This window comes from Homo sapiens, chromosome 4 (genome assembly GCF_000001405.40).
Source record: "Homo sapiens chromosome 4, GRCh38.p14 Primary Assembly".
Lineage (NCBI taxonomy): Eukaryota > Metazoa > Chordata > Mammalia > Primates > Hominidae > Homo > Homo sapiens.
The window spans coordinates 153,765-179,334 of NC_000004.12; the positions used below are offsets into that span (position 1 = coordinate 153,765).

Here is a 25,570-nt window from a genome sequence, read left to right on the forward strand (position 1 = left end):
CTATGGCTGAACAAATCTGTATACTGAACAGAAATCTATATACTGACAAATCTATATACTGAACAGAACAAAAAAAGCAGAAAATGTTTTATTTGAAATTTGGGACAAGACAAGGATGTTATTTGATATTATAATTGTGTATGACAATATTCAACTGTGTACACTATAAGACAGTGATATGGTTTGATTGTGTCCCCACCCAAATCTCATCTTGAATTATGGCTTTCATAATTCCCATGTGTTGTGGGAGATAATTAAGTCATGGGGGCAGTTTCCCCCATACTGTTCTCATGGTGGTGAATAAGTCTCAGGAGATCTGATAATTTTATAAGGTTTCCCCTTTTGTTTGGCTCTCATTCTGTCTTGCCTCCTGCCATATATGACATGACTTTTGGCTTCTGCCATGATTTTGAGGCCTCCCCAGCCACATGGAACTGTGAGTCCATTAAACCTCTTTTTCTTTATAGATTATCCAATCTCAGGTATGTCTTTATCAGCAGTGTGAAAATGGACTTCTGCAGTAAATTGGTACCAGTAGAGTTGGGAACTGCACCTGAAAATGTGGAAGTGACTCTGGAACTGGGTAACAGGCAGAGGTTGGAACAGCTTGGAGGGCTGAGAAGGAGACAGGAAAATGTGGGAAAGTTTGGAACTTCCTGGAGATGTGTTGTATGGCTTTGACCAAAGTGCTAATAATGATATGGACAATGAAATCCAGTCCAAGGTGCTCTCAGGTGGAGATGAGGAACTTGGGAAATGCAGTAAAGGTGTCTCTTGCCATGTTTTAGCAGAAAGACTGGTGGCATTCTGCTCCTGCACTAGAGATCTGTGGAACTTTGAACTTGAGGGAAATGACTTAGGGTATCTGGTAGAAGAAATTCCTAACCCATAAAGCATTCATGAGGTGACTTGGGTGCTGTTAAAAGCATTCAGTTTTAAAAGGGAAACAGCATGAAAGTTCAGAAATTCTACAGCCTGATGATGTGATAGACAAGAAAAACCCATTTTCTGAAGGGAAATTCAAGCTCACTGCAGAAATTCGCATAAGTAATGAGGAGCCAAATGTTAATCACTAAGACACTGGGAAAAATGTCTCTAGGGCATTTCAGAGAACTTTGTGATAGCTTCTCCCATCACAGGCCCAGAGGCCTAAGAGGGAAATAATTTTATGGGTTGGGCCTAGGCCCCCCTTCCTAGGGCGTTGGTGCCCTGTGTCCCAGCTACTCTACCCATAGCTAAACAGGGTCAAGGTACAGCTTAGGCCTTGGCTTCAGAGGGTCCAAGCCCCAAGCCTTGGTAGGTTCCATGTGATCTTGAGCCTGCAGGTACACAGAAGTCAAAAGCGAGGTTTGGAAACCTCTGCCTACATTTCAGAATATGTATACAAATGCCTGACTGTCAAGTTTGCTGCAGGGGTGTGGCCCTCATGGAGAACCTCTGCTAGGGCAGTGCAGAAGGGAAATGTGGGGTTGGAGCCCCCACACAGAGTCCCCACTGGGGCACTGCCTAGTGGAGCTGTGAGAAGCAGGCCACTGTCCTCCAGGCCCCAGAATGATAGATCCACTGATAGCTCGCACCATGCACCTGTAAAATCCACAGACACTCAACACCAGCCCATGAAAGCAGCCAGGAGACTGACTGTACCCTGCAAAGCCACAGGGGTGGAGCTGCTCAAGATCATGGGAACCTATTTCTTGCATCAATGTGACCTGGGTGTGAGACATGGAGTCAAAGGACATCATTTTGGAGCTTTAAGATTTGACTGCCTTGCTGAATTTTGGCCTTGCATGGGGCCTCTAACTTCCTTGTTTTGGCCAATTTCTCTTACTTGGTATGGGTGTATTTACCCAATGCCTGCACCCCCATTGTGTCTAGGAAATAACTAACTTGCTTTTGATTTTACAGGCTCATAGGTGGAAGGGACTTACTTTCTCTCAATGAGACTTGACTGTGGACTTGTGAGTTCAACCTGAAATGAGTTAAGACTTTGGGGGACTGTTGGGAAGGCATAATTTGTTTTGAAATGTGAGGACATGAGATTTGGGAAGAACCAGGGGTGGAATGATAGGGTTTGGCTGTGTCTTCAGCCAAATCTCATTTTGAATTATAGCTCCCATAATTCCCATGTGTTGTGGGAGGGACCCAGTGGGAGATAATTGAATCAGGGCAGTGGTTTTTCCCATACTGTTTTTACAGTAGTGAATGACTCATGAGACCTGATGGTTTTTATAAGAGGTTTCCCCATTTGTTTGGTTCTTATTCTCTTTCGTCTACCACCATGTAAGATGTGCCTTTCACTTTGTACCTCCCACAATGATTTTGAGGCCACCCCAGCCACATGTGAGTCCATTAAACCTTTTTTTCTTATAAATTACCCCATCTTTGGGTATGTTTATCAGCAGTATGAAAATGGACTAATACAGACAGTGTGGAGCACAAGTCAAATATGCATCAGTGATATGTCTATTTCCAATATAAGTCTCTGTGTTTATCTGTATTTGTATTGTTCCTGCATTGTTTATAAGTTGTATACTTGCTCTGTTTGTGTGTATACAATGATCATTTTACCCTGTCTAGGTGAGTTGTCATTGAAATACTTCTAATTTTACCCTCTATTTATTTGTGAATCTATATTTTTATGTGTGGGAGAGCACTTTTGTGATTAGAAGATAATTTCAAAAGCCATCATACCTCTGTATCTCTTCTAGATATTACTATTTTTAATTGTCAAAAAAAACAGACTTTACAATCTTAAATATTTTTAATACTCAGTCATATTATATTGACATTGTTATGCATTGTATCTCTAGAATGTGTCTTGCAAAGCTAAAATCACTCTACACATTAAAAAACCATGTATTTCTGTTTTCTGGCGCTTTGCAAAAACAATTGCTTTCTATTTCAGAATCAGACTGTTTTAGATAGCTTATGTAAGTTGATTCATATAGTTTCTGTCTCTTTGTGGCTGACTTATTTCATGTTGCACAATTTCATTAAGATTTATTTTTATTTCATTAGATTATTTTTTGCTTCTAAAAAACTAATATTAATATTTCAAATTATATTTATCCATCTGATGAGAGACATTTGCATTACTTTCGTTTATTTGCTTCAGTAACAGTGCTGCAATAATTATGAGTGTACAAATTACTCTTCATGTGACCATGTATATGAGAGTTTATGTTTGTGCTGGATTTAATCTTATCCATCTAGCTGTTCCGCTTATACTCATACTAAATTGTTTCAATTTTTAGCTTTGTATGTGTTTTGAAATCAGGAGCTGTGATGCCTCCAACATTGTTGTTTTTCTTTTTTTCTTTTTGTTTCTTTCTTTCTTTCTTTTTTTTTTTTTTTTTTTTTTTTTTTTCAGACAGTTCCACACTTGTTGCCCACGCTGGAGTGCAATGGTGCAATCTCAGTTCACTGCAACCTCTGCCTCCCAGGTTCAAGTGATCCTCCTGCTTCAGCCTCCTCAGTAGCTGGGATTACAGGCATGTGCCACCATGCCCAGCTAATTTTGTATGTTTTTAGTAGAGATGGGATTTCTCCATGTTGGTCAGGCTGGTCTTGAGCTCCCAACCTCAGGTGATCCACCCACCTCGGCCTCTCAAAGTGCTGGTATTAACAGGTGTGAGCCACCGCACCCGGCCTTGTTGTTTTTCTTATTGAAGATCGCTTGGTGCTACATTGTCTCTCGAAATTTTATCTAATTTTGGGGTTGCTGTTTCTATTTCTGGAAAAACTCGATTAGAAATTTGACAGGGATTGCATTTAATCTGATTATTACATTCAACAGTCCAGATGGCTTCATAATATTAAATATTTCAAACATTGAACAAGAGCATGCTAAAGAGTATATTGTTTGCTTTCTATAATTATGTAAGATTTTCAGTTTTTTTATTCTACTCTCTTTCCAGTTTGGTCATAAAAAGTAATCTGTAAAATTTTAATTTAAAAAAATTTGTTGAGGGTCTTTTTGTGGCCTAACCGGTGGTTTATCAAGAAGACTTTTGTATGAGCTATTGAGAAGGGTGTGTATTCTGCTGTCATTGAGCAGTGTTTTCTACAATTCTGTTAGGCATAATTTTTTAATACTGCTTTCAAGTCTTCTGCTCCCTTATGAATATTGTCTTTTTGTTTTATTCATTACAGAAATTGGGGTATCAAAATATCCTAGTATAATTATATTGCTTTGTATATCTTGGCTTTACTTCTGTCAGTATTTGCTTTATATATTTGAAACCCTAATGTGAGATACACACACACACATTAATATGTATATATACACACATTTGTCATGGGTTTCCAGTAAATGAACACTTTCATTATTGTTTAATGTCCTTTGTCTCTTATAAGCTTTTAGTTAAGGCATATTTTATGAAATAGGACAGTTTTTCACTTAAGATGCACTTTGTGTAATATAATTTTGACCTCTTATTTGGTTATTTGCATGAAATGTCTTTTTTCATCTTGCCTTGTCTCCTTCCTTTAATCATTAGATTTTAAGTGACTTGTAGAAAAGCAGGTTGGATCTTGTTTTTTTAATTGTTAAAATTTTTTTATTCAGTGCATGTATTTTGAATGGAAAGTTTACTTCATAAATATTTAAATAATTTGCTGACAGAAAGGCTTACTAATATTATTTTATTGTTTTACTTGATAATTTTATCTTTGTCCCTTATTTTCTGTCTTTGTGTCTTTTTGATTTTTGTATTGATAGGCCCTTACTTCTTGTTTTTTGAGTATCTCTACAGATCCTTTTTTATTTGATATCTTGGGAATTACATAAAATTTCTTAAATTTAAAATAATATATTTTAAACTGGTAAGAACTTAACTTTAGTTGCATGTTGAAATTCTTCCTCATTATATCTGCCCTCAACTTTATTATTGATGTCACTAATCATATTTTTATTTTGCATATTAACAGTTTATGATTAAGGGGTTTTTTTGTTTGCTTTTATCTTTCACATTTTGGAGAATAAAATATTTTCTGTGCTATCATGATAATGATATAGAACTTTATATTTTTGTATGTGCATATCTTTCCTAGAAAATTATGTTTTCATATGATTATGTTTTGTTTTCTTGCATTATGTTATTTTCAGTGAAAGATACTTTCTTTAGCCTTTTTTTTTTTTTGCAAGGCAGATGTAGTGCTAATATACTTTTTCAGCATTTGGTTATCTTGCAAGGTCTTTACTTTTTCTTCATTTTTAGGACAGTTTTGCTGGTTATATTAGTCCCACTTAGGAGCTATTCTTTTTTTCTTTTTTCTTTTTTTTTTTTTTGAGATGGAGTCTTGTTTTGTCGCCCAGGCTAGAGTGCAGTGGCGCGATCTTGGCTCACTGCAACCTCTGCCTCCTGGGTTCAAGCAATTCTTTTGCCTCAGCCTCCCGAGTAGCTGGGACTACAGGCATGTGCACCACACCTGGCTAATTTTTTTGTATTTTTAGTAGAGACAGGGTTTCACCATGTTGGCAAGGATGGTCTCGAACTCCTGACCTTGTGATCTGCCCACCTTGGCCTCCCAAAGTGTTGGGATTACAGGTCTGAGCCACTGTGCCTGGCCGAAGCTATTTTTCTTTCACCACTTTATATTACAATTCCATGACATCTGGAATTTTTTTTTTTTGACAGATTCACTGGTTATCTTATAAGACCACACTTATTTATAAATGACACATCACTTTTACCTTGTAACTCCTAAGATTCTCTTCTTGTCTTTGACTTTTGAAACTTTGCTTGTATGTGTCTTGTTATAAATCTCTATGTGTGTATCCTAGTTGAAGCTTGTGGAGCATCTTCAGTTTTTACATCCTTTTTTTACTTTTGAAAATGTCTCAGTCATTATTGTTGTATTTTTCACCTTCATGACTTGTTTTTTATATTTTTAATGTTTTCATTGATATTCTTATTTTTCTGATTTTATAAATTGTATATGTTTCTATTTCACTCATTGAGCATTATTCAGGTTAAACTTTTAAATTTTGAATATCTTCATTATTTATAGTTGTTTTCTGAAAATTTTCAAATTTTTTAATTGGGCCATGTTGCCCTAGTATTTTGCCTACATTGTAATATTGTTATTTGAACATGAACTAAAAGCTATTTGTCACAATCTTTACAATGTTGCCTTGTCCTCACATAGTCTGAAACCAGTTGTCTTTGATAGAGATTATGGGAGCCTCTCATACATGTTGTAAGGGTGTGTCTTGTCTAGAATTTTGTGTTTATTCTTCAGTTAAAAGAGTTTGTTCATGTTTCTTCTTATGGTTTCTAATCACTTGCTCTACCTGTTCCCTGTTTTTAGCACTGCTGTCTGCTCATGAAACATTTACCTTTGGTCTCAGCAGACTCACCACCATTTCTTTCAGCACCCTGTATTATTGGAGACAGAAACCAGCTTTTGTAATAATTTCCAAAAACCAGAAGTAGGAATGCGTGTGTCACTATTTTTCCTCTAAGAAGCCAGGTGTTGGCAGTTTACTCCTAAAGCACAATGCTATATTTGTGGGAAGGAAGAGCTGCAGTGGGTAAATGTAACATACTTTACTTCGTGTTTTATGTGGCTCTTGGAATTGTGCTTACCTGAGGCATTGCACATAATTAACTCATTTATAGATTTCACACAAAGGCATTTTGGTCAGTATATTTTTGTTATATATGTCTGTAAAGAAATTATGGCCTGTGGTATTTACTGAGCATCTTACTGATATACTTTGTATAATTTTATATATTAGATTTGTAATTGTATTAGATTTGTAAAGTATATTTATTTACTTATTTGTTTATTTATTTATTGAGATGGGGTCTCACACTGTCACCTTTTCTGGAGTGCAGTGGTGTGATCTTGGCTGATGGAAGCCTCTACCTCCCGGGTTCAAGGGATTCTCCTGCCTCAGCCTCCCAAGTAGCTGGGATTATAGGCATGCACCATCATTCCCAGCACATTTTTTTTGTATTTTTAGTACAGACAGTGTTTCACCATGTTGGCCAGGCTGGTCTCGAACTCCTTACCTCATTATTTGCCCACCTTGGCCTCGGAAACTGCTGGAATTACTGGCTTGAGCTATAGTGCCTGGCCTGTAAAGTATATTTATATGAATCTAGTAAGTGGGATAATTTGTTATTTTTATTTCTTTCAGCTGTGTGTTCTCATTTCACCCAAAACCTTTGGACAGTGCAGGGCATAGAAGATTCATTCCACAAACTTATACCAAAAGGACATGAGAAACGTGGACATGAGAATTTAAGAAAAACTTGTAAAAGTATAAATGAGTGTAAGGTGCAGAAAGGTGGTTATAATAGAATTAACCAATGCTTATTAACTACCCAGAAAAAAACAATTCAATCTAATATATGTGTCAAAGTTTTTCATAAATTTTCAAATTCAAACAAAGATAAGATAAGATATACTGGAGATAAAACCTTTAAATGTAAAGAATGTGGCAAATCATTTCACGTGCTCTCACGCCTAACTCAACACAAAAGAATTCATACTGGAGAGAACCCCTACACATGTGAAGAATGTGGCAAAGCCTTTAATTGGTCCTCAATTCTTACTAAACATAAGAGAATTCATGCCAGAGAGAAATTCTACAAGTGTGAAGAATGTGGTAAAGGCTTTACTCGGTCCTCACACCTTACTAAACATAAGAGAATTCATACTGGAGAGAAACCCTACATATGTGAAAAATGTGGTAAAGCTTTTAACCAATCCTCAACCCTTAATTTACATAAGAGAATTCATTCTGCACAAAAATACTACAAATGTGAAGAATGTGGTAAAGCCTTTAAGTGGTCCTCATCCCTTAATGAACATAAGAGAATTCATGCTGGAGAGAAACCCTTCTCATGCGAAGAATGTGGCAATGTCTTTACCACATCCTCAGACTTTGCTAAACATAAGAGAATTCATACAGGAGAGAAACCCTACAAATGTGAAGAATGTGGAAAATCCTTTAATAGGTCCACAACTCTTACGACACATAAGAGAATCCATACTGGAGAGAAACCCTACACATGTGAAGAATGTGGAAAAGCCTTTAATTGGTCCTCAACCCTTAATGTACACAAGAGAATTCACTCTGGAAAAAATCCCTACAAATGTGAAGATTGTGGCAAAGCCTTTAAAGTGTTTGCAAACCTGCATAATCATAAGAAAATTCATACTGGAGAGAAACCCTACATATGTAAACAATGTGGCAAAGCCTTTAAACAGTCCTCACACTTGAATAAACATAAGAAAATTCACACTGTAGATAAACCCTACAAATGTAAAGAATGCGGGAAAGCTTTTAAGCAGTACTCCAACCTTCCTCAACATAAGAGAACTCATACTGGAGGAAAATTTTAGAAATGTGAAGAATGTGGGAGCCTTTAAGTCTTCCTCAGTCTTTTCTAATCATAATTCATACTGGAGAGAAACTCTACACATGAAAAAATTGACAAAGCTTTTAACCGCAACTCAATCTGTTCTAAACATAAGAGAAATGGTATTGGTGAGAAGCCATAAAAATATGAAAAATGTGGAAAAGCCTTCAAATGCTTGTCACATATTACTGAATATAATTCTTACTGCAGAAAACCCCTAGGAATATTAAAAGTGTGGCAAAACCTTTAACCAATGCTCATATCTCTTTGCACATGATAGCATTTATACTTGAGAAAAATTGTACAAATATAGAAAATGTAGAAAAGCCATTAATGCCTACTCATGTGTTACTAAATATCAGAGAGTTTGTACTTAATAAAAGGATTATAAATGTAGTATTTGTTGAAAGACCTATTAGAAAATACAGGTCTTAAAAGTGAAGAAGAGTATTCTGAAGATAGACAATAGAAATAGTAAGAGGGTTGTAGTACCTGTACTTGCATCATGGGTCTTATTGTGCATATTTCATACTAGAAGAAAACCCTGAAGCAGTTGCCCAAACTTTCTTTGACATTAGAGAATTTATATTGGAAAGAAATTTTACAAATGTAATAAATTTGGAAAAGCATTTGTTCAAAAACTATAGCTTAAAAAAAACCAGTTTATACTAGAAGATATTTTGTAGATGCGGTAAGTATGAAAAGATAGTCTGAAATTAAGACTAAATGTCAGAATATTTACAGTAGAAAGAAAAAGGCATTAACACTTGAAACATTACAGTATATCAGAGTGTAAAGTATAAAAAAATTCCAAAGCTGAAACTGTTAGATAATTTCTTTCTATATAAGTTGAAAAGGAGTAGCTTTTTGAAATTATTCCATTGAAATTATACTTTTTTTACCTGAAAAAATTATAGATTTTTTGAAAAGCAAATTCAACTCTAAAATTACTTCATACTGATTCAACTTATTGTTTATATGAAAGCATGTGATGAATTGTTGCATCAGAGGTATGAGTGATTCTTTTTAGGTGGGCATCATTCATGAACTTTTTTTTTTTTTTTGAGACGGAGTCTCGCTCTGTCGCCCAGGCTGGAGTGCAGTGGCGGGATCTCGGCTCACTGCAAGCTCTGCCTCCCCCTGGGTTCACGCCATTCTCCTGCCTCAGCCTCCCAAGTAGCTGGGACTACAGGCGCCCGCCACTACGCCCGGCTAATTTTTTGTATTTTTAGTAGAGACGGGGTTTCACCGTTTTAGCCGGGATGGTCTCGATCTCCTGACCTCGTGATCCGCCCGCCTCGGCCTCCCAAAGTGCTGGGATTACAGGCGTATTCATGAACTTTTACATGAATGAGTAAGGACATTGAAAGATGCATGAGATGATGCATACATCTTTGTGGTTGACTTATCATTGCATGATGCATGACGTACATGTTCAGAGTAATATTCTTCTGCATTATAGTGAGAGAAAAATCTTGAATTTTAGTAATAAATTGCTTTTACCAGTTGCACATTTATGTAATAAAATACAGTAAATTTTAAAATTCTCTTTTAAGATTGTGTGTGAACCTTACTCAAGGGTGTAGGTAAAAAATGGTAACAGTATACTTTTAGTAACATAGTTTAATGACATTTCTAGTAATTTCTTTTTCCAGTGGCTTTAAACAGCAAATAAGTTGAAGAATATTGTTCTCATGTTAAATTTTTATTATTTTTTATATTTAAATTTATTTTTAAAAATTTATGTGGGTACATGGTATGTGTATACATTCATGGCATAGATGGGTTACTTTGATACAGACATGCAACATGTAATCACATCAGAGTAAATGAGTTATTCATCACCTCAAGCATTTATCCTTTGTATTACAAACAATCCAATTATACACTTCATTTTTAAATGTACAATTAAATTATTTTTTATTACAGGTAATTTTATGATTGTATTTAGAATTATATCAGAATATAATTATAATTTAGACATTTCTGTGTCCTGAATAAATATGTTTTTAAATGTTCCATATTTTTCTTTGGACATCTGGCATCTCTTCTGGCAAACATGTACAGACTTCTAGTTTTGATTTACATGGAGATAAATATATAAACATATTGCTGTAAGATAAACCTTAGGTGTAAAAAAATTGTAGACCAAGCAATTGTGTTTGGAAATTTGTACCTATTTTCCAAAGAAAATAGCAACATTGGGACAAAAAATATTCTTTTAATAATATATATAACTTACTAGAAACATAAAAACCTAAAATATTCTGGAATCAAATCTACACTATATTCTTTGTATTTAATTAATTGCTGTAGAATCTAATGGATCATTGTTGAGAATCTCCTTGTGCAAATTATCTGTTTTGTCTTATACTCATGCTAGTGATATAATTCACTTGTTTCTCATAGTTTTTTGTTTTAACTTCATTAAGTATTTATTGTGTGAGCTGGTCAGAAATTATAAGAATGATTTTTATAAAATTTAGTAGAGCCCACAAAATAAATTTAAGATGTTCACAATGTGTGTGTTAAGTAACATTTAGTTAGAATATTTTGTTTAATTGGGGAACCATATATAAGCTGTTTAGTTACTGTTCCTTTCACTTTTTATAATCAACATAATTGAGTTTATTTATTGGGCCAATTCAAGTAAGTACTGGGAACACTTTATAACTTATGAGGATGTTTTGATATGTAATTGCAGTGAACAAACATAAGAAAGTGATAGGTGTGTAATAGCTGCTCCATAATTAGGTATAAATATTTTTCTGGAGTTTATTTGTAGGTCCAAGTAAGAGATTGAAAATATCTGTGGTGAAGAAATGGTATTAATTCTGTATGTTAAGAGGACATCTGTTCCCAGGCTGTAAAAGTGACTCATTCTGAATTTAAAGAAGATTTCAGTGTTTATATTCTAATTATCTTCAGTTTTTTGATGTCTTTATGTGTTCATCCTCAGCTGTGTGTACCTCACAGCCCTTCTCCTGATTTGTGTTAGTTTTTTCACTGTTCTCTTCATGCCATGTAATTTCACATGGATTTTCTAGGTTCTCATGAAAAGTTTGGATTTGTTTTAATGTGGTAAATTACTGTTTTTAAGTGGGGTGTTTGAGGGTATTTATAGCTTATCAATGCAACATTTAGATTACTTAAGAGTCATTTACTGTTCACATGTAAAAGGATTAAGGCAGTCAGCATTGTTTTTCTCTGTAAAAGAAAAATTTTATGAAATTCTAAACAAAGTATGTTAAATGAAACATAAGCTAGAATAGGTAAAGCATCAATATGAGTGGGTTGCATATTGTAAGCATCATATGAAGAAACTCATCCAAATTTTGAAATCTCTTAGAAGAAAATGTCTTAGAAATTAATTTCTAGGCCGGGTACAGTGGCTCACACCTGTAATCCCAGCACTCTGGGAAGCTGAGGTGGGTGGATAACCTGAGGTCAGGAGTTCGAGGCCAGCCTGGCCAACATGGCAAAACCCCGTTTCTACTAAAAATACAAAAATTAGCCAGTTGTGATGGTGGGTGCCTGTAATCTAAGCTACTTGGGAGGCTGAGGCTGGAGAATTGCTTGAACCCGGGAGGTGGAGGTTGCAGTGAGCTGAGATGGCGTCACTGCACTCCAGCCTGGGTGACAGAGTGAGACTCAGTGTCAAAAGAAGGAAATTTCTTGGAGACAGTGATAGGTGAGATATTTTACGTTCTTTTTTTTTATTATTATACTTTTAAGTTTTAGGGTGCATGTGCACAACGTGCAGGTTAGTTACATATGTATACATGTGCACATGTGCCATGTTGGTGTGCTGCACCCATTAACTTGTCATTTAATATTAGATATATCTCCTAATGCTATCCCTCCCCCAACCCCACAGCAGGCCCCAGTGTGTGATGTTCCCCTTCCTGTGTCCATGAGTTCTCACTGTTCAATTCCCACCTATGAGTGAGAACGTGCAGTGTTTGGTTTTTTGTCCTTGCAATAGTTTGCTGAGAATGATGGTTTCCAGCTTCATCCATGTCCCTACAAAGGACATGAACTCATCATTTTTTATGGCTGCATAGTATTCCATGGTGTATATGTGCCACATTTTCTTAATCCAGTCTACACTGTTGGACATTTGGGTTGGTTCCAAGTCTTTGCTATTGTGAATAGTGCTGCGATAAACATATGTGTGCATGTGTCTTTATAGCAGCATGATTTATAATCCTTTGGGTATATACCCAGTAATGGGATGGCTGGGTCAAATGGTATTTCTAGTTCAAGATCCCTGAGGAATCGCCACATTGACTTCCACAATGGTTGAACTAGTTTACAGTCCCACCAACAGTGTAAAAGTGTTCCTATTTCTCCACATCCTCTCCAGCACCTGTTGTTTTCTGACTTTTTAATGATCGCCATTCTAACTGGTGTGAGGTGGTATCTCATTGTGGTTTTGATTTGCATTTCTCTGATGGCCAGTGATGATGAGCATTTTTTCATGTGTCTCTTGGCTACCTAAATGTCTTCTTTTGAGAAGTGTCTTTTTATATCCTTCACCCACTTTTTGATGGGGCTGTTTGTTTTTTTTCTTGTAAATTTGTTTGAGTTCTTTGTAGATTCTGGATATTAGTCCTTTGTCAGATGGGTAGATTGCAAAAATTTTCTCCCATTCTGTAGGTTGCCTGTTCACTCTGATGGTAGTTTCTTTTGCTGTGCAGAAGCTCTTTAGTTTAATTAGATCCCATTTGTCAATTTTGGCTTTTGTTGCCATTGTCTTTGGTGTTTTAGACATGAAGTGCTTGCCCATGCCTGCGTCCTGAATGGTATTGCCTAGGTTTTCTTCTAGGGTTTTTATGGTTTTAGGCTAACATTTAAGTCTTTAATCCATCGGGAATTAATTTTTGTATAAGGTGTAAGGAAGGGATCCAGTTTCAGCTTTCTACATATGGCTAGCCAGTTTTCCCAGCACCATTTATTAAATAGGAAATCCTTTCCCCATTTCTCGTTTTTGTCAGGTTTGTCAAAGATCAGGTGGTTGTAGATATGTGGCATTATTTTTGAGGGCTCTGTTCTGTTCCATTGGTCTATATCTCTGTTTTGGTACCAGTACCATGCTGTTTTGGTTACTCTAACCTTGTAGTATAGTTCGAAGCCAGGTAGTATGATGCCCCCAGCTTTGTCCTTTTGGCTTAGGATTGCTTTGCAATGTGTGCTCTTTTTTGGTTCCATATGAACTTTAAAGTAGTTTTTTCCAATTCTGTGAAAAAAGTCATTGGTAGCTTGATGGGGATGGCATTGAATCTATAAATTACCTTGGGCAGTATGGCCATTTTCATGATATTGATTCTTCCTACCCATGAGCGTGGAATGTTCTTCCATTTGTTTGTATCCTGTTTTATTTCATTGAGCAGTGGTTTGTAGTTCTCCTTGAAGAGGTCCTTCACATCCCTTGTAAGTTTGATTCCTAGGTATTTTATTCTCTTTGAAGCAATTGTGAATGGGAGTTCACTCATGATTTGGCTCTCTGTTTGTCTGTTATTGGTGTATAAGAACGCTTGGGATTTTTGCACATTGATTTTGTGTCCTGAGACTTTGCTGAAGTTGCCTATCAGCTTAAGGAGATTTTGGGCCTGAGACGATGGGGTTTTCTTGATATACAATCTTGTCATCTGCAAACAGGGACAATTTTACTCCTGTTTTCCTAATTGAATATGCTTTATTTCTTTCTCCTGCCTGATTGCCCTGGCCAGAACTTCCAATACTGTGTTGAATCGGAGTGGTGAGAGAGGGCATCCCTGTCTTGTGCCAGTTTTCAAAGGGAATGCTTCCCTTTTTTGCCCATTCTGTATGATATTGGCTGTGGGTTTGTCATAGATAGCTCTTATTATTTTAAGATATGTCCCATCAATACCTAATTTATTGAGAGTTTTTAGTATGAAGGTTGTTGAATGTTTTCAAAGGCCTTTTCTGCATCTATTGAGATAATCATATGGTTTTTGTCATTGGTTCTGTTTAGATGCTGGATTACGTTTATTGATTTTCATATGTTGAAACAGCCTTGCATCCCAGGGATGAAGCCCACTTGATCATGGTGGATAAGCTTCTTGATGTGCTGCTGGATTCGGTTTGCCAGTATTTTATTGAGGATTTTCACATTGATGTTCATCAGGGATATTGGTCTAAAATTCTCTTTTTTTGTTGTGTCTCTGCCAGGCTTTGGTATCAGGATGATGCTGGCCTCATAAAATTTAGTTAGGGAGGATTCCCTCTTTTTCTATTGATTGGAATAGTTTCAGAAGGAATGGTACCAGATCCTCCTTGTACCTCTGGTAGAGTTCGGCTGTGAATCCATCTGGTGCTGGACTTTTTTTTGGTTGGTAAGCTATTAATTATTGCCTCAATTTCAGAGCCTGTTATTGGTCTATTCAGATATTCAACTTTTTCCTAGTTTAGTCTTGGGAGGGTGTCTGTGTTGAGGAATTTATCCATTTCTTCTAGATTTTCTAGTTTATTTGCGTAGAGTTGTTTATAGTATTCTCTGATGGTAGTTTGTATTTCTGTGGGATCGGTGGTGATATCCCCTTTATCATTTTTTATTGCATCTATTTGATTCTTCTCTCTTTTCTTCTTTATTAGTCTTGCTAGTGGTCTATCAATTTTGTTGATCTTTTCAAAAAACCAGCTCCTGGATTCATTGATTTTTTGAAGGGCTTTTTGTGTCTCTATCTCCTTCAATTCTGCTCTGATCTTAGTTATTTCTTGCCTTCTGCTAGCTTTTGAATGTGTTTGCTCTTGGTTCTCTAGTTCTTTTAATTGTGATGTTAGGGTGTCAATTTTAGATCTTTCCTGCTTTCTCTTGTGGGCATTTAGTGCTATAAATTTCCCTCCACACACTGCTTTGAATGTGTCCCAGAGATTCTGGTATGTTGTGTCTTTGTTCTCACTGGTTTCAAAGAACATCTTTATTTCTGCCTTCATTTCATTATGTACCCAGTAGTCATTCAGGAGCAGGTTGTTCAGTTTCCATGTAGTTGAGTGGTTTTGAGTAAGTTTCTTAATCCTGAGTTCTAGTTTGATTGCACTGTGGTCTGAGAGACAGTGTTATAATTTCTGTTCTTTTACATTTGCTGAGGAGTGCTTTACTTCCAACTATGTGGTCGATTTTGGAATAAGTGCAGTGTGGTGCTGAGAAGAATGTATATTCTGTTGATTTGGGGTGGAGAGTTCTGTAGATGTCTATTAGGTCTGCTTGGTGCAGGGCTGTGTTCAATTCCTGGATATCCTTGTTAACTTTCTGTCTCGTTGATCTGTCTAATATTGACAGTGGGGTGTTAAAGTCTCCCATTATTATTGTGTGGGAGTCTAAGTCTCTTTCTAGGTCTCTAACGACTTGCTTTATGAATCTGGGTGCTCCTGTATTGGGTGCATATATATTTAGGATAGTTAGTTATTCTTGTTGAATTGATCCCTTTACCATTATGTAATGACCTTCTTTGTCTCTTTTGATCTTTGTTAGTTTAAAGTCTGTTTTATCAGAGACTAGGATTTCAACCCCTGCCTTTTTTTGTTTTCCATTTGCTTGGTAGATCTTCATCCCTTTATTTTGAGCGTATGTGTGCCTCTGCACGTGAGATGGGTTTCCTGAATGCAGCACATTGATGGGTCTTGACTCTTTATCCAATTTGCCAGTCTGTGTCTTTTAATTGGAGTATTTAGCCCATTTACATTTAAGGTTAATATTGTTATGTGTGAATTTGATCCTGTCATTATGATGTTAGCTGGTTATTTTGCTCATCAGTTGATGCAGTTTCTTCCTAGCATCGATGGTCTTTACAATTTGGCATGTTTTTGCTGTGGCTGGTACCAGTTATTCCTTTCCATTTTTAGTGCTTCCTTCAGGAGCTCTTTTAGGGCAGGCCTGGTGGTGACAAAATCTCTCAGCATTTGCTTGTCTGTAAAGTATTTTATTTCTCCTTCACTTATGAAGCTTAGTTTGGCTGGATATGAAATTCTAAATTGAAAATTCTTTTCTTTAAGAATGTTGAATATTGGCCCCCACTCTCTTCTGGCTTGTAGAGTTTCTGCCGAGAGATCAGCTGTTAGTCTGATGGGCTTCCCTTTGTGGGTAACCCGACCTTTCTCTCTGGCTGCCCTTAACATTTTTTCCTTCATTTCAACTTCAGTGAGTCTGACAATTATGTGTCTTGGAGTTGCTCCTCTTGAGGAGTATCTTTGTGGCGATCTCTGTATTTCCTGAATTTGAATGTTGGCCTTCCTTGCTAGATTGGGGAAGTTCTCCTGGATAATATCCTGCAGAGTGTTTTCCAACTTGGTTCCATTCTCCCTGTCACTTTCAGGTACACCAATCAGACGTAGATTTGGTCTTTTCACATAGTCCCATATTTCTTGGAGGCTTTGTTTGTTTCTTTTTATTCTTTTTTCTCTAAACTTCTCTTCTCACTTCATTTCATTTATTTCATCTTCCATCACTGATACCCTTTCTTCCAGTTGATTGAATCAGCTACTGAGGTTTGTGCGTTCGTCATGTAGTTCTCATGCCTTGGTTTTCAGCTCCATCAGGTCCCTTAAGGACTTCTCTGCATTATTATTCTAGTTAGCCATTCGTCTAATTTTTTTTCAAGGTTTTTAACTTCTTTGCCATGGGTTCGAACTTCCTCCTTTAGTTCGGAGTAGTTTGATCATCTGAAGCCTTCTTGTCTCAACTCATCAAAGTCATTCTCTGTCCAGCTTTGTTCCATTGCTGGTGAGGAGCTGCGTTCCTTTGGAGGGCAGAGGCACTCTGATTTTTAGAGTTTCCAGTTTTTCTGCTCCGTTTTTCCCCCATCTTTGTGGTTTTATCTACCTTTGGTCTTTGATGATGGTGATGTACAGATGGGGTTTTGGTGTGGATGTCCTTTCTGTTTGTTAGTTTTCCTTCTAACAGTCAGGACCCGCAGCTTCAGGTCTGTTGGAGTTTGCTGGAGGTCCACTCCAGACCCTCTTTGCCTGGGTATCAGCAGCAGAAGCTGCAGAACAGCGGATATTGGTGAACAGCAGATGTTGCTGCCTGATCGTTCCTCTGGAAGTTTTGTCTCGGAGTACCCAGCCATGTGAGGTGTCAGTCTACCCCTACTGGGGGATGCCTCCCAGTTAGGCTACTTGGGAGTCAGGGACGCACTTGAGGAGGCACTCTGTCTGTTCTCAGATGTCCAGCTGTGTGCTGGTAGAACCAGTGCTCTCTTCAAGGCTGTCAGACAGGGACGTTTAAGTCTGCAGAGGATTCTGCTGCCTTTTGTTTGGCTGTGCCCTGCCCCCCAGAGGTGGAGTCTACAGAGGCAGGCAGGCCTCCTTGAATTGCGGTGGGCTCCACCGAGTTCGAGTTTCCTGGCCGCTTTGTTTACCCCCTCAAGCCTCGGCAATGGTGGGCGCCCCTCCCCCAGCCTCACTGCCGCCTTGCAGTTTGATCTCAGACTGCTGTGCTAGCAGTGAGTGAGGCTCTGTGGGTGTAGGACCCTCTGAGCCAGGCATGGGATATAATCTCCTGGTGTGCGATTTGCTAAGACCATTGGAAAAGCGTAGTATTAGGGTGGGAATGACCCAATTTTCCAGGTGCCGTCTGTCATCCCTTTCTTTGACTAGGAAAGGGAATTCCCTGACCCGTTGTGCTTCCCGGGTGAGGCAATGCCTCGCCCTGCTTCAGCTCAAGCTTGGTGCGCTGCACCCACTGTCTTGCACCCACTTTCCAACACTCCCTAGTGAGATGAACCCGGTACCTCAGTTGGAAATGCAGAAATCACACGTCTTCTGCGTCGCTCACGCTGGGAGCTGTAGACTGGAGCTGTTCCTATTCGGCCATCTTGGCTCCACCTGTCGAGATATTTTACATTAACTTTCTATGACATACTTATAGCAAAACTTATTTTTTCATGCAGAATAGTCTATATTCTATATTTATTGTAAAGCATATACCGTACATGGTGACTAGTCACCATGCTGTACAATAAATTTTCTGAACTTAGTCAACTGTATTTACGTATTATTTTACAGAGATCTCTCCAAATGCCTCTTTTTTTCTGAATAAACAAGCATCCAGTAACCAGCATTTTGCCGTCTGGCTTATTTCACTTGGCATAATGTACTCTAAATTTATCCATATTGTTTCAAATGACAAGATTTTTTCTCTTTTATTACCAAGTAGTATTTCATTGTGTGTAAACACATTTTTAAAAATTTAAATATATAGTCATCTATTGGTTGAAAAACTCATGTAATGAAAATACATTTGTGTTAAAGCATGTATTAATGTAATTCAGCATGTAAAATTTTATTAATCATAGCTAATTTGTGCCAAACACTAAAACTCTATGTGTGTTAATAAATTTAATTCTCACAGTAACTCAATAACATAGGTACTTATTTTACGGAGAAAGATACAGAGCCACAGAGAAAAATGACTTGGTCACATTGCAAAACCAGTATTAAAACACAAGCAACTTTGACTTCAGAAATAACTCTTGTCTATTATAGTAAACACCTTCTTCAAACAAAATAAATGATTAACAACCATTCTTAGTAAAAATTTAACAAAAATGGAAACAACTGATACTTTTTTTTGTTATACATGTGTGTGTAAATGTATAAAACATGATACATGCCAGGTGTGGTGACTCTCACCTGTAATCCCAGCATGTTGGGAGGCTGAGACGGGTGGATCACAAGGTCAAGAGATTGAGACCATCCTGGCCAACATGGTGAAACTCCGTCTCTACTAAAATTAGATGGCCATGGTGGGGTGCACCTGTAGTCCCAGCTACTCAGGAGGCTGAGGCAGGAGAATCGCTTGAACCTGGGAGGTGTAGGTTGCAGTGAGCCAAGATTGTGCCACCGCACTGCAGCCTGAAGACAGAGTGAGACTCCATCTTAAAAAAATAAATAAAATAAAAATAAATAAATATGATACACAAAGGAGAAATACTTCCTGTATTTATACCATATAAACTCTAGAAATTGCCCTTTGGTACTGACATGTACTTGGGAACAACTTTTTTTTTCAACTGCCCTTCCCCACCCCTCCAGCAACTCCGTACTTACAGCATAATTTTAAACTAAACCTGTAGTCAGCAAATGCTGTAATGTAATTAAATATTATTTACTACAAACACAAGCAGTATACTCTGATTTTATTACCTTCGTTAATACAAATTTATTTATTGAGCTATTTCACTCGTTTAGTTTCCATTGTGCCCATTTCTCAGCTTTGCTGAAATACTACTACCTATAATTATTTCCACCAAAATCGTTTTCTATTTGTTTATAAAACTTTAAATTTTTAATCTTTGGGAACCTCAGCTCAGCAGTCAGAGCTCTTAGTCCTGACAAGAGCCCTAGAACTAGGAAAGAAACCAATAGTTACTATTTATACACAGTTCAAATGTGCCCTTTTAGTTTTCCACACTTAACAGCCATCTGAAAAGAAAAAGGAATTTTTGACAGCAAAGGATACTTCTGTTAAATATGGGTCGCAGGTTTTTACCCTATCCCAGGCTGTCCACCTACTACAAAAGTAGCTGTAGTTCATTGGTGGGGCTACCAGAAGGGCCAAGATAAAATTGCCCAGAGAAACAGGAGGGCTGACCAAGCAGCTAGGGCCACCACCTGCAGAGTCCATCCCACAGAATTTGGCTGAGCGAGGGATGAAAGAAGTATGCAGACACAGGTATTTTACCTAACAGTGCAGCTAGGGGACTGTACCACTTATCACCACCTACAAGAATGCAGCCGTGAATAGCCATTGATGCTCGCATTTGTTTACTACAGATGTAATGACAAAGGCTTGGAACAAACACAATTTGTGGGTAATAAACATCGTAGGCCCCCAAGTAGAGAGCAGTCCTGCACATGAATGATCAAAGGTCAGTTTTAGGAGATCAGTTTTAGGACAACATGAATAAACAAGCTATTTAGATAAATTCCTCTACATTCCTTTGTATCTACTCCTCACCCTTTGCCCTAGGGTAAGGACAGCTGCCTTCAGCTCATTCTTCCCCGAAGCTTTGCAAAACCTCCCGGCCTTCCAAGAAGGTTTGTGTCTTTCCCTGTAACTTTTTCTTACAAATTTTTCCACCACCCTGACCAATCTTCAGCCACCCTCTCTGGGAACGTTTTGTGGCCCTTATTCCAAATTTGTCTAACAACCTCCCCATCCTGCAATATGCTCACAAGAAAAAGAAATGGGTTATCAAATGTGAATATATCCTAAAACATGAAAGATTGTATAAATTGGGAGCGGTTCTCTGTCTTCCCAGGCCCTCCAACAGGAAGTAATAAGGGCACTCCATAATTCTTGTCACTTTGGGAGAGACCATCTCCATCAGCTGTGCAAAATATTTTTGTCAAGTTTGTAAAGCCTATCCATCTCGTGTCTGTAATAATCCTGGAGGCCCTAAGCCACTCTAGTTAATTAATTCAGCCTGTTCAGCAACAAGAAACCTAGCTAACAGGAAGACTGGCAGATAGACTTCACTTAATTGTCAGCCTGTCGAGGCTATAACTACCTTCTGATCTTTGGGGACACCTTTACTGGCTGGGTTGAAGAATCTCATAGTAGAATAGAAAAAATTCAAGTAATTTCCAAGGCCCTTCTCAAATAAATTATCTCTTGATTTGGGCATCCACGGTCTTCACAAAGTAACAAAGGTTCATATTTTATTTTACACACTACCCAGTTAGTGGCAAAAGCCCTAGGGATAAAATACTTTTTACAGTCCTCCTGAAGGCCATAACCTTCTGGGAATGTAGAAAGAACTAATCGAGCTATTAAAAGCACCCTGAGCAAATGATGCCAGGAAAACCTCTTTACCATGGCTAGAACTTCTGCCCATGGCATTTTGCAGATCAGAACAGCCCCTCAATTACATCTATGCCTTAGTTTTATTGAAATCCTATATGAGAGATCCTTTCTACTTGCAAACTTAACATTACACCAACAGGTTACCAAATTAACCCAGTACCTAAAATCCCTGACTCAATTTCAAGAGGCCATCCGGAGTTTGCCTGCCTAAGTGACACTTGCAACAACCAACAACCGTTTTACCCCGCAGGATCAGCAGTCCTCATTAAAATCTGGAGAGATGGGTCTTTTGGATCGCAACTAACCTCTTTACAAAAGAACCCCTTTACTGTCATACTTTCTACTCCAATAGCTATCAAAGTTTCTGGCATCTCTAGTTGGATAAATCACTTTTGAATAAAACCCTGGAAAGACTTTAAGGAACCAGATGTGGAACCAGAACTCAGCTACTGTTGTGAGCCACTGGAGGACTTAAAATTTCTCTTTGAATGAGAGGATAAGTAATGTTCTCCCTCTTTTTACCTTAAAGTAGGGCAATCCCAATATTGGCAATCTTATTTGCAGGGGCACTGTTTATTCTTTCTTTAACCCTATCTTGTGCAGCACCAGGAGTTCCAATAAGAGCTTGCTTTATCTAATATCAATTTTTTAGCCTAATGATTTATTTTACTTTTGGTTGCTTTAGTGCGTCAGCAATGTTAGTAATATTTTGATGTTTATATTACAAGTCATAATACTCTGCAGATTTACTAATATGCCTTTGTTACCATAAACCAACACCCCCTCCAGGGAAGAGTTAACTGTGACCCTCCTCAATTTAAACCTCAAAGCCATAATCTGAATAGTGGTCTCTATCTCTAATACTCTTTGGATTAACAGTCTTTTTTTTTTTTTTTTTTTTTTGAGATGGAGTCTCGCTCTGTGGCCCAGGCTGGAGTGCAGTGGCGCTATCTCGGCTCACTGCAAGCTCCGCCTCCCAGGTTCATGCCATTCTCCTGCCTCAGCCTCCCAAGTAGCTGGGACTACAGGCAGTCTTCTTAACAAGCATATCAATTTGGCCCTAATCTACTTGCCTTGGAACTATGCAGCCTAATGCTCTATGATCATTACTCACACTTCTGGCTAAAAGCACCCTTATAAGCTCTAATTGCCCACAACCTTTTAGAACTCTGCAGGCAGCTCCACAAGCACTAATGTCTGCCAATTCCTCCTATGCCTCAACCCAGCTGTGCATGAATTCCATTCAGGGTAAAAATGGCCTACTTGGCCACAATACAAGAATGGGCAACTACTCAAGCCCAACTTAGTTTCACTTACCATTGGGACCTCTTCATACAAAACCTTCCCCCTGCTAACATACTATTTCTAACCCAAGCTAAAGAGGCCTTTGAAGATTTTCTTAAGCCCAACCCCATTGTTTTAAGCCCCTTGTTCTCCCCTGTAACCCTCATTGGCCAGGCATCTCTATGCATCTATGCTACCATCAATTCCAGAACTCTTATGGGTGGGTGCTCTTGACCCAGCATAATGCAACACATCCAGCACCACTATTAATACCCCACAAGCTTTTTTAACTTTCATTAAATATTCCCGATACCAAATGAGATTCTCTACTTATCACCCCCAATATTTTAACTCCTGAACCATGTATCCAAAATGATGCCACTGAATTCTACCTCAATCACTCTTCTTGCAGTCAATCCAACCCATGGTATCAACCAAGCCAGTATGAATTATGCAATAGGTTTCAAGTCTTTTATTCCTTTCAGAAAACCCTTCTCCCAGATACTACTAGACACATGATTTTGTAGAAAAATAGACTCATTCTCTTATTCAAACTAATCACCCATGTCTAACTCTCTAGACAGCAGCAACTTTAGTGGCAGAATATCAGATACTGGGCAGCCAAAATGGACACTTGTCAATGTTTGGAGCTGACCTCAACTCTTTCTGCATTCATTCTTGTTTATGGAGTGCAGAACTTTACTTCCTATGGAAGATGCAGGCTCATCTCTGCCTCTCTGCAAATTGGACCAGAACATACACTCTGGCTTACCTCACCCCTAAAATTTCCATTGTTCTGGGTGATGCTTCTCTGCTGTTACCCTTATTTACCACCTCACACCAGATCAGCTCAGAAGTTTATCTAATTTCCTTCCACAATGAGCTTGTCATCACAAGTGCCACCACAGGAATAGCTGTCATTGTTATTGCCTCCTCAACTTTCCACAACCCATCTCTGGAACTGACTCATAAAATAGAAACCACTGCTCAAACTCTAACAGGGTTACAGCAACAGGTTTATTATCTTATGACTGTAGTTCTCCAGAAATTGTAGAGGTCTTGACACACTGACTGCAGCTCAGGAATAAATTCGCCTTATGCTAGGAGAAAAATGCTGTTTCTGGGTTAACAGATTAAGGCAAGTCCAGAATCATGTGAGAGATTTTATACACCAGGCCTCTTCCCTTCAGAAACATGCCACTTAGGTCTAGTTCTCCTGGGGTGCCACCTGGTCCCAGACCTCATGACATCTCATTTTGTTGGGATCCCTGGCCTTTGTCTTCCTTTTTCTCCTTTTTGGGCCTTGCTCACTAAATCTACTAACCAGATTTGTTCCTTCTCACCTAGAAACTCTCAGAGTTCAAATGGTCCTCTAACAGGAATATTAACCTACTTTTTTCCCTGCTGGAAAACTGTGTCCCTACACATTTTCTCTGGAGACTGCAAGTCAAACCTGAGAGAACATGGAGGATATCTTTCCCTGACAAAGGACAAAACAATGAGACACTGATGAGTTCTTTATCTCATGTCAGCAGGAAGCAGTTACGGAAGACCCACAGTGCCCCTAAACTCAAAGATTTTTAGGGTCTCAATCTGTTGAGGGGAGAATGTTAGAGTAGGCAGTTAGACATGAGCAGAAAAAAAAAGCCCCTGAGGGAGGAAAATCTCATGCTCCAAAGACAACCCGAAACATGTATGCTAAATTGAGCAGAGAGGACGGGAAATACCTGTGAAGAAAGAATACCCTGAAACACCCCTTAAGACACCCAGTAATTGCTCATACTGTGGTTAAACTGTCAGAATATAGCTAGTACATGCTGACATGTATACATCTTTGCATACACAGATACCTGAAAATGGGATTGCTGGATTGTATGATAATTTCATTTTTTTTTTTTTTTGAGACAAGATCTGTTTTTGTCACCCAGGCTGGAGTGCAGTGGTGCAATAATGGCTCACTGCAGCCTTGACATCCTGGGCTCAAACAATCCTCCCATCTCAGCCAGCCAAGTAGCTGGGACTACAGGTACATGTCACTACACCTGGCTAATTTTTGTATTTTTTGTAGAGGTGGGGTCTCCCTATTTTTCCCAGGCTGGACTCAAACTTCTGAGCTCAGATAATTCTCTCACCTCAGCCTCCCAAAGTGTTAGAATTATAGGCATGATCCACCACACCCAGCCATATTTGATTTTTAATATCTTGGGAAACCTCTATCCTAATTTTCTTGGAGGCTGCATTATTCTCTTCTACCAACAGTGCATGGGGGTTCCAAATGCTCTGCATCCTTGACAACATTGATTCCTTTTGTGTGTTGAATAGTGGCCATGCTAATGGGTGAGAGGTAAGAGCTCACTGGGATTTTGCTTTGCATTTCTCCCAAAAAAATAATTTTGATGATCCTTTCAAATGCCTCTTGGCCATTTGCATAGCCTTTTTAAAGAAATGTCTTTGGAGACCTTGGTTCATTTTATTAAAAATCAAGATATTCACTATTGGTTGTTGTGTTTTAGAAGTCATTTATACATAAGGGATGTTAATTCCTGTCGAATAGATTACTTGCAATTTCTTCCCCATCTCCTGGTTGGCATTTGTACTCCACTAAGCGTTTCCCTTGATATGCAGAAGGTTTTGAAAGTTTGATATAGTACCATTTTTTATTCTTTTCTTGTTACTTCTGCTTTTAATGTAATACTCAAAAAATTTGTGAAAATTAATGTTATTATGCTCCTCCCTATTTTTCTGAACGTTGAAGAGATATATGTCTCACATTTAGGTATTTGGTCTGTGTAAAATATTTTCTTTGCATGCTATCAAAGGGAAAGGTCCAAGTTCATTATCTTCTATTTAGGTGTTGAATTTTTTGACACCATTTGTTGGAGAGTCTGACCTTTTCTTCACTGTTTGGTCATGATAACCTAGTAAAAAATTATTTGATAATATTCCCAAAAGTTTATTTCTTGGTTCTCTGTTCTGTTCCATCAACCATTTGTTTGTCTTTATGCCAATATCACAATGGTTTTATTTTTGTAGCTTTGGAATCAGTTTTGACATCATGAGGTGTGGTACCTCTAACTTT

The 25,570-nt window shown here is 38.0% G+C and overlaps 1 protein-coding gene across 7 annotated transcripts in view, besides 1 other annotated feature; it reads left to right on the forward strand.

Moving 5' to 3' along the window:
• Positions 1-25,570, forward strand: part of ZNF718 (zinc finger protein 718) — a 77,831-nt gene that overhangs the window by 29,289 nt on the left and 22,972 nt on the right. For 4 of the 7 annotated variants that reach the window (NM_001289930.2, NM_001039127.6, XM_017007980.3 and 1 more), the window contains exon 4: positions 7,148-10,398. The exons of 2 other annotated variants lie outside the window; for them this stretch is intronic. In NM_001289930.2, the coding sequence (NP_001276859.1) occupies positions 7,148-8,358 (1,211 nt within the window). In that variant the 3' untranslated portion in view covers positions 8,359-10,398. Of the gene's footprint in view, positions 1-7,147; positions 10,399-25,570 lie in introns of those variants that run through there. One more of the 7 variants, NR_110529.1, reaches the window with a different exon arrangement.
• Positions 19,906-20,440: an enhancer, noted in NCBI's record as "NANOG hESC enhancer chr4:167459-167993 (GRCh37/hg19 assembly coordinates)". NCBI's record gives its function as "activates a minimal SCP1, AML or CMV promoter by ChIP-STARR-seq in naive H9 embryonic stem cells {active_cell/tissue: H9 hESC(naive)}" and the evidence as "EXISTENCE:reporter gene assay evidence [ECO:0000049][PMID:30033119]".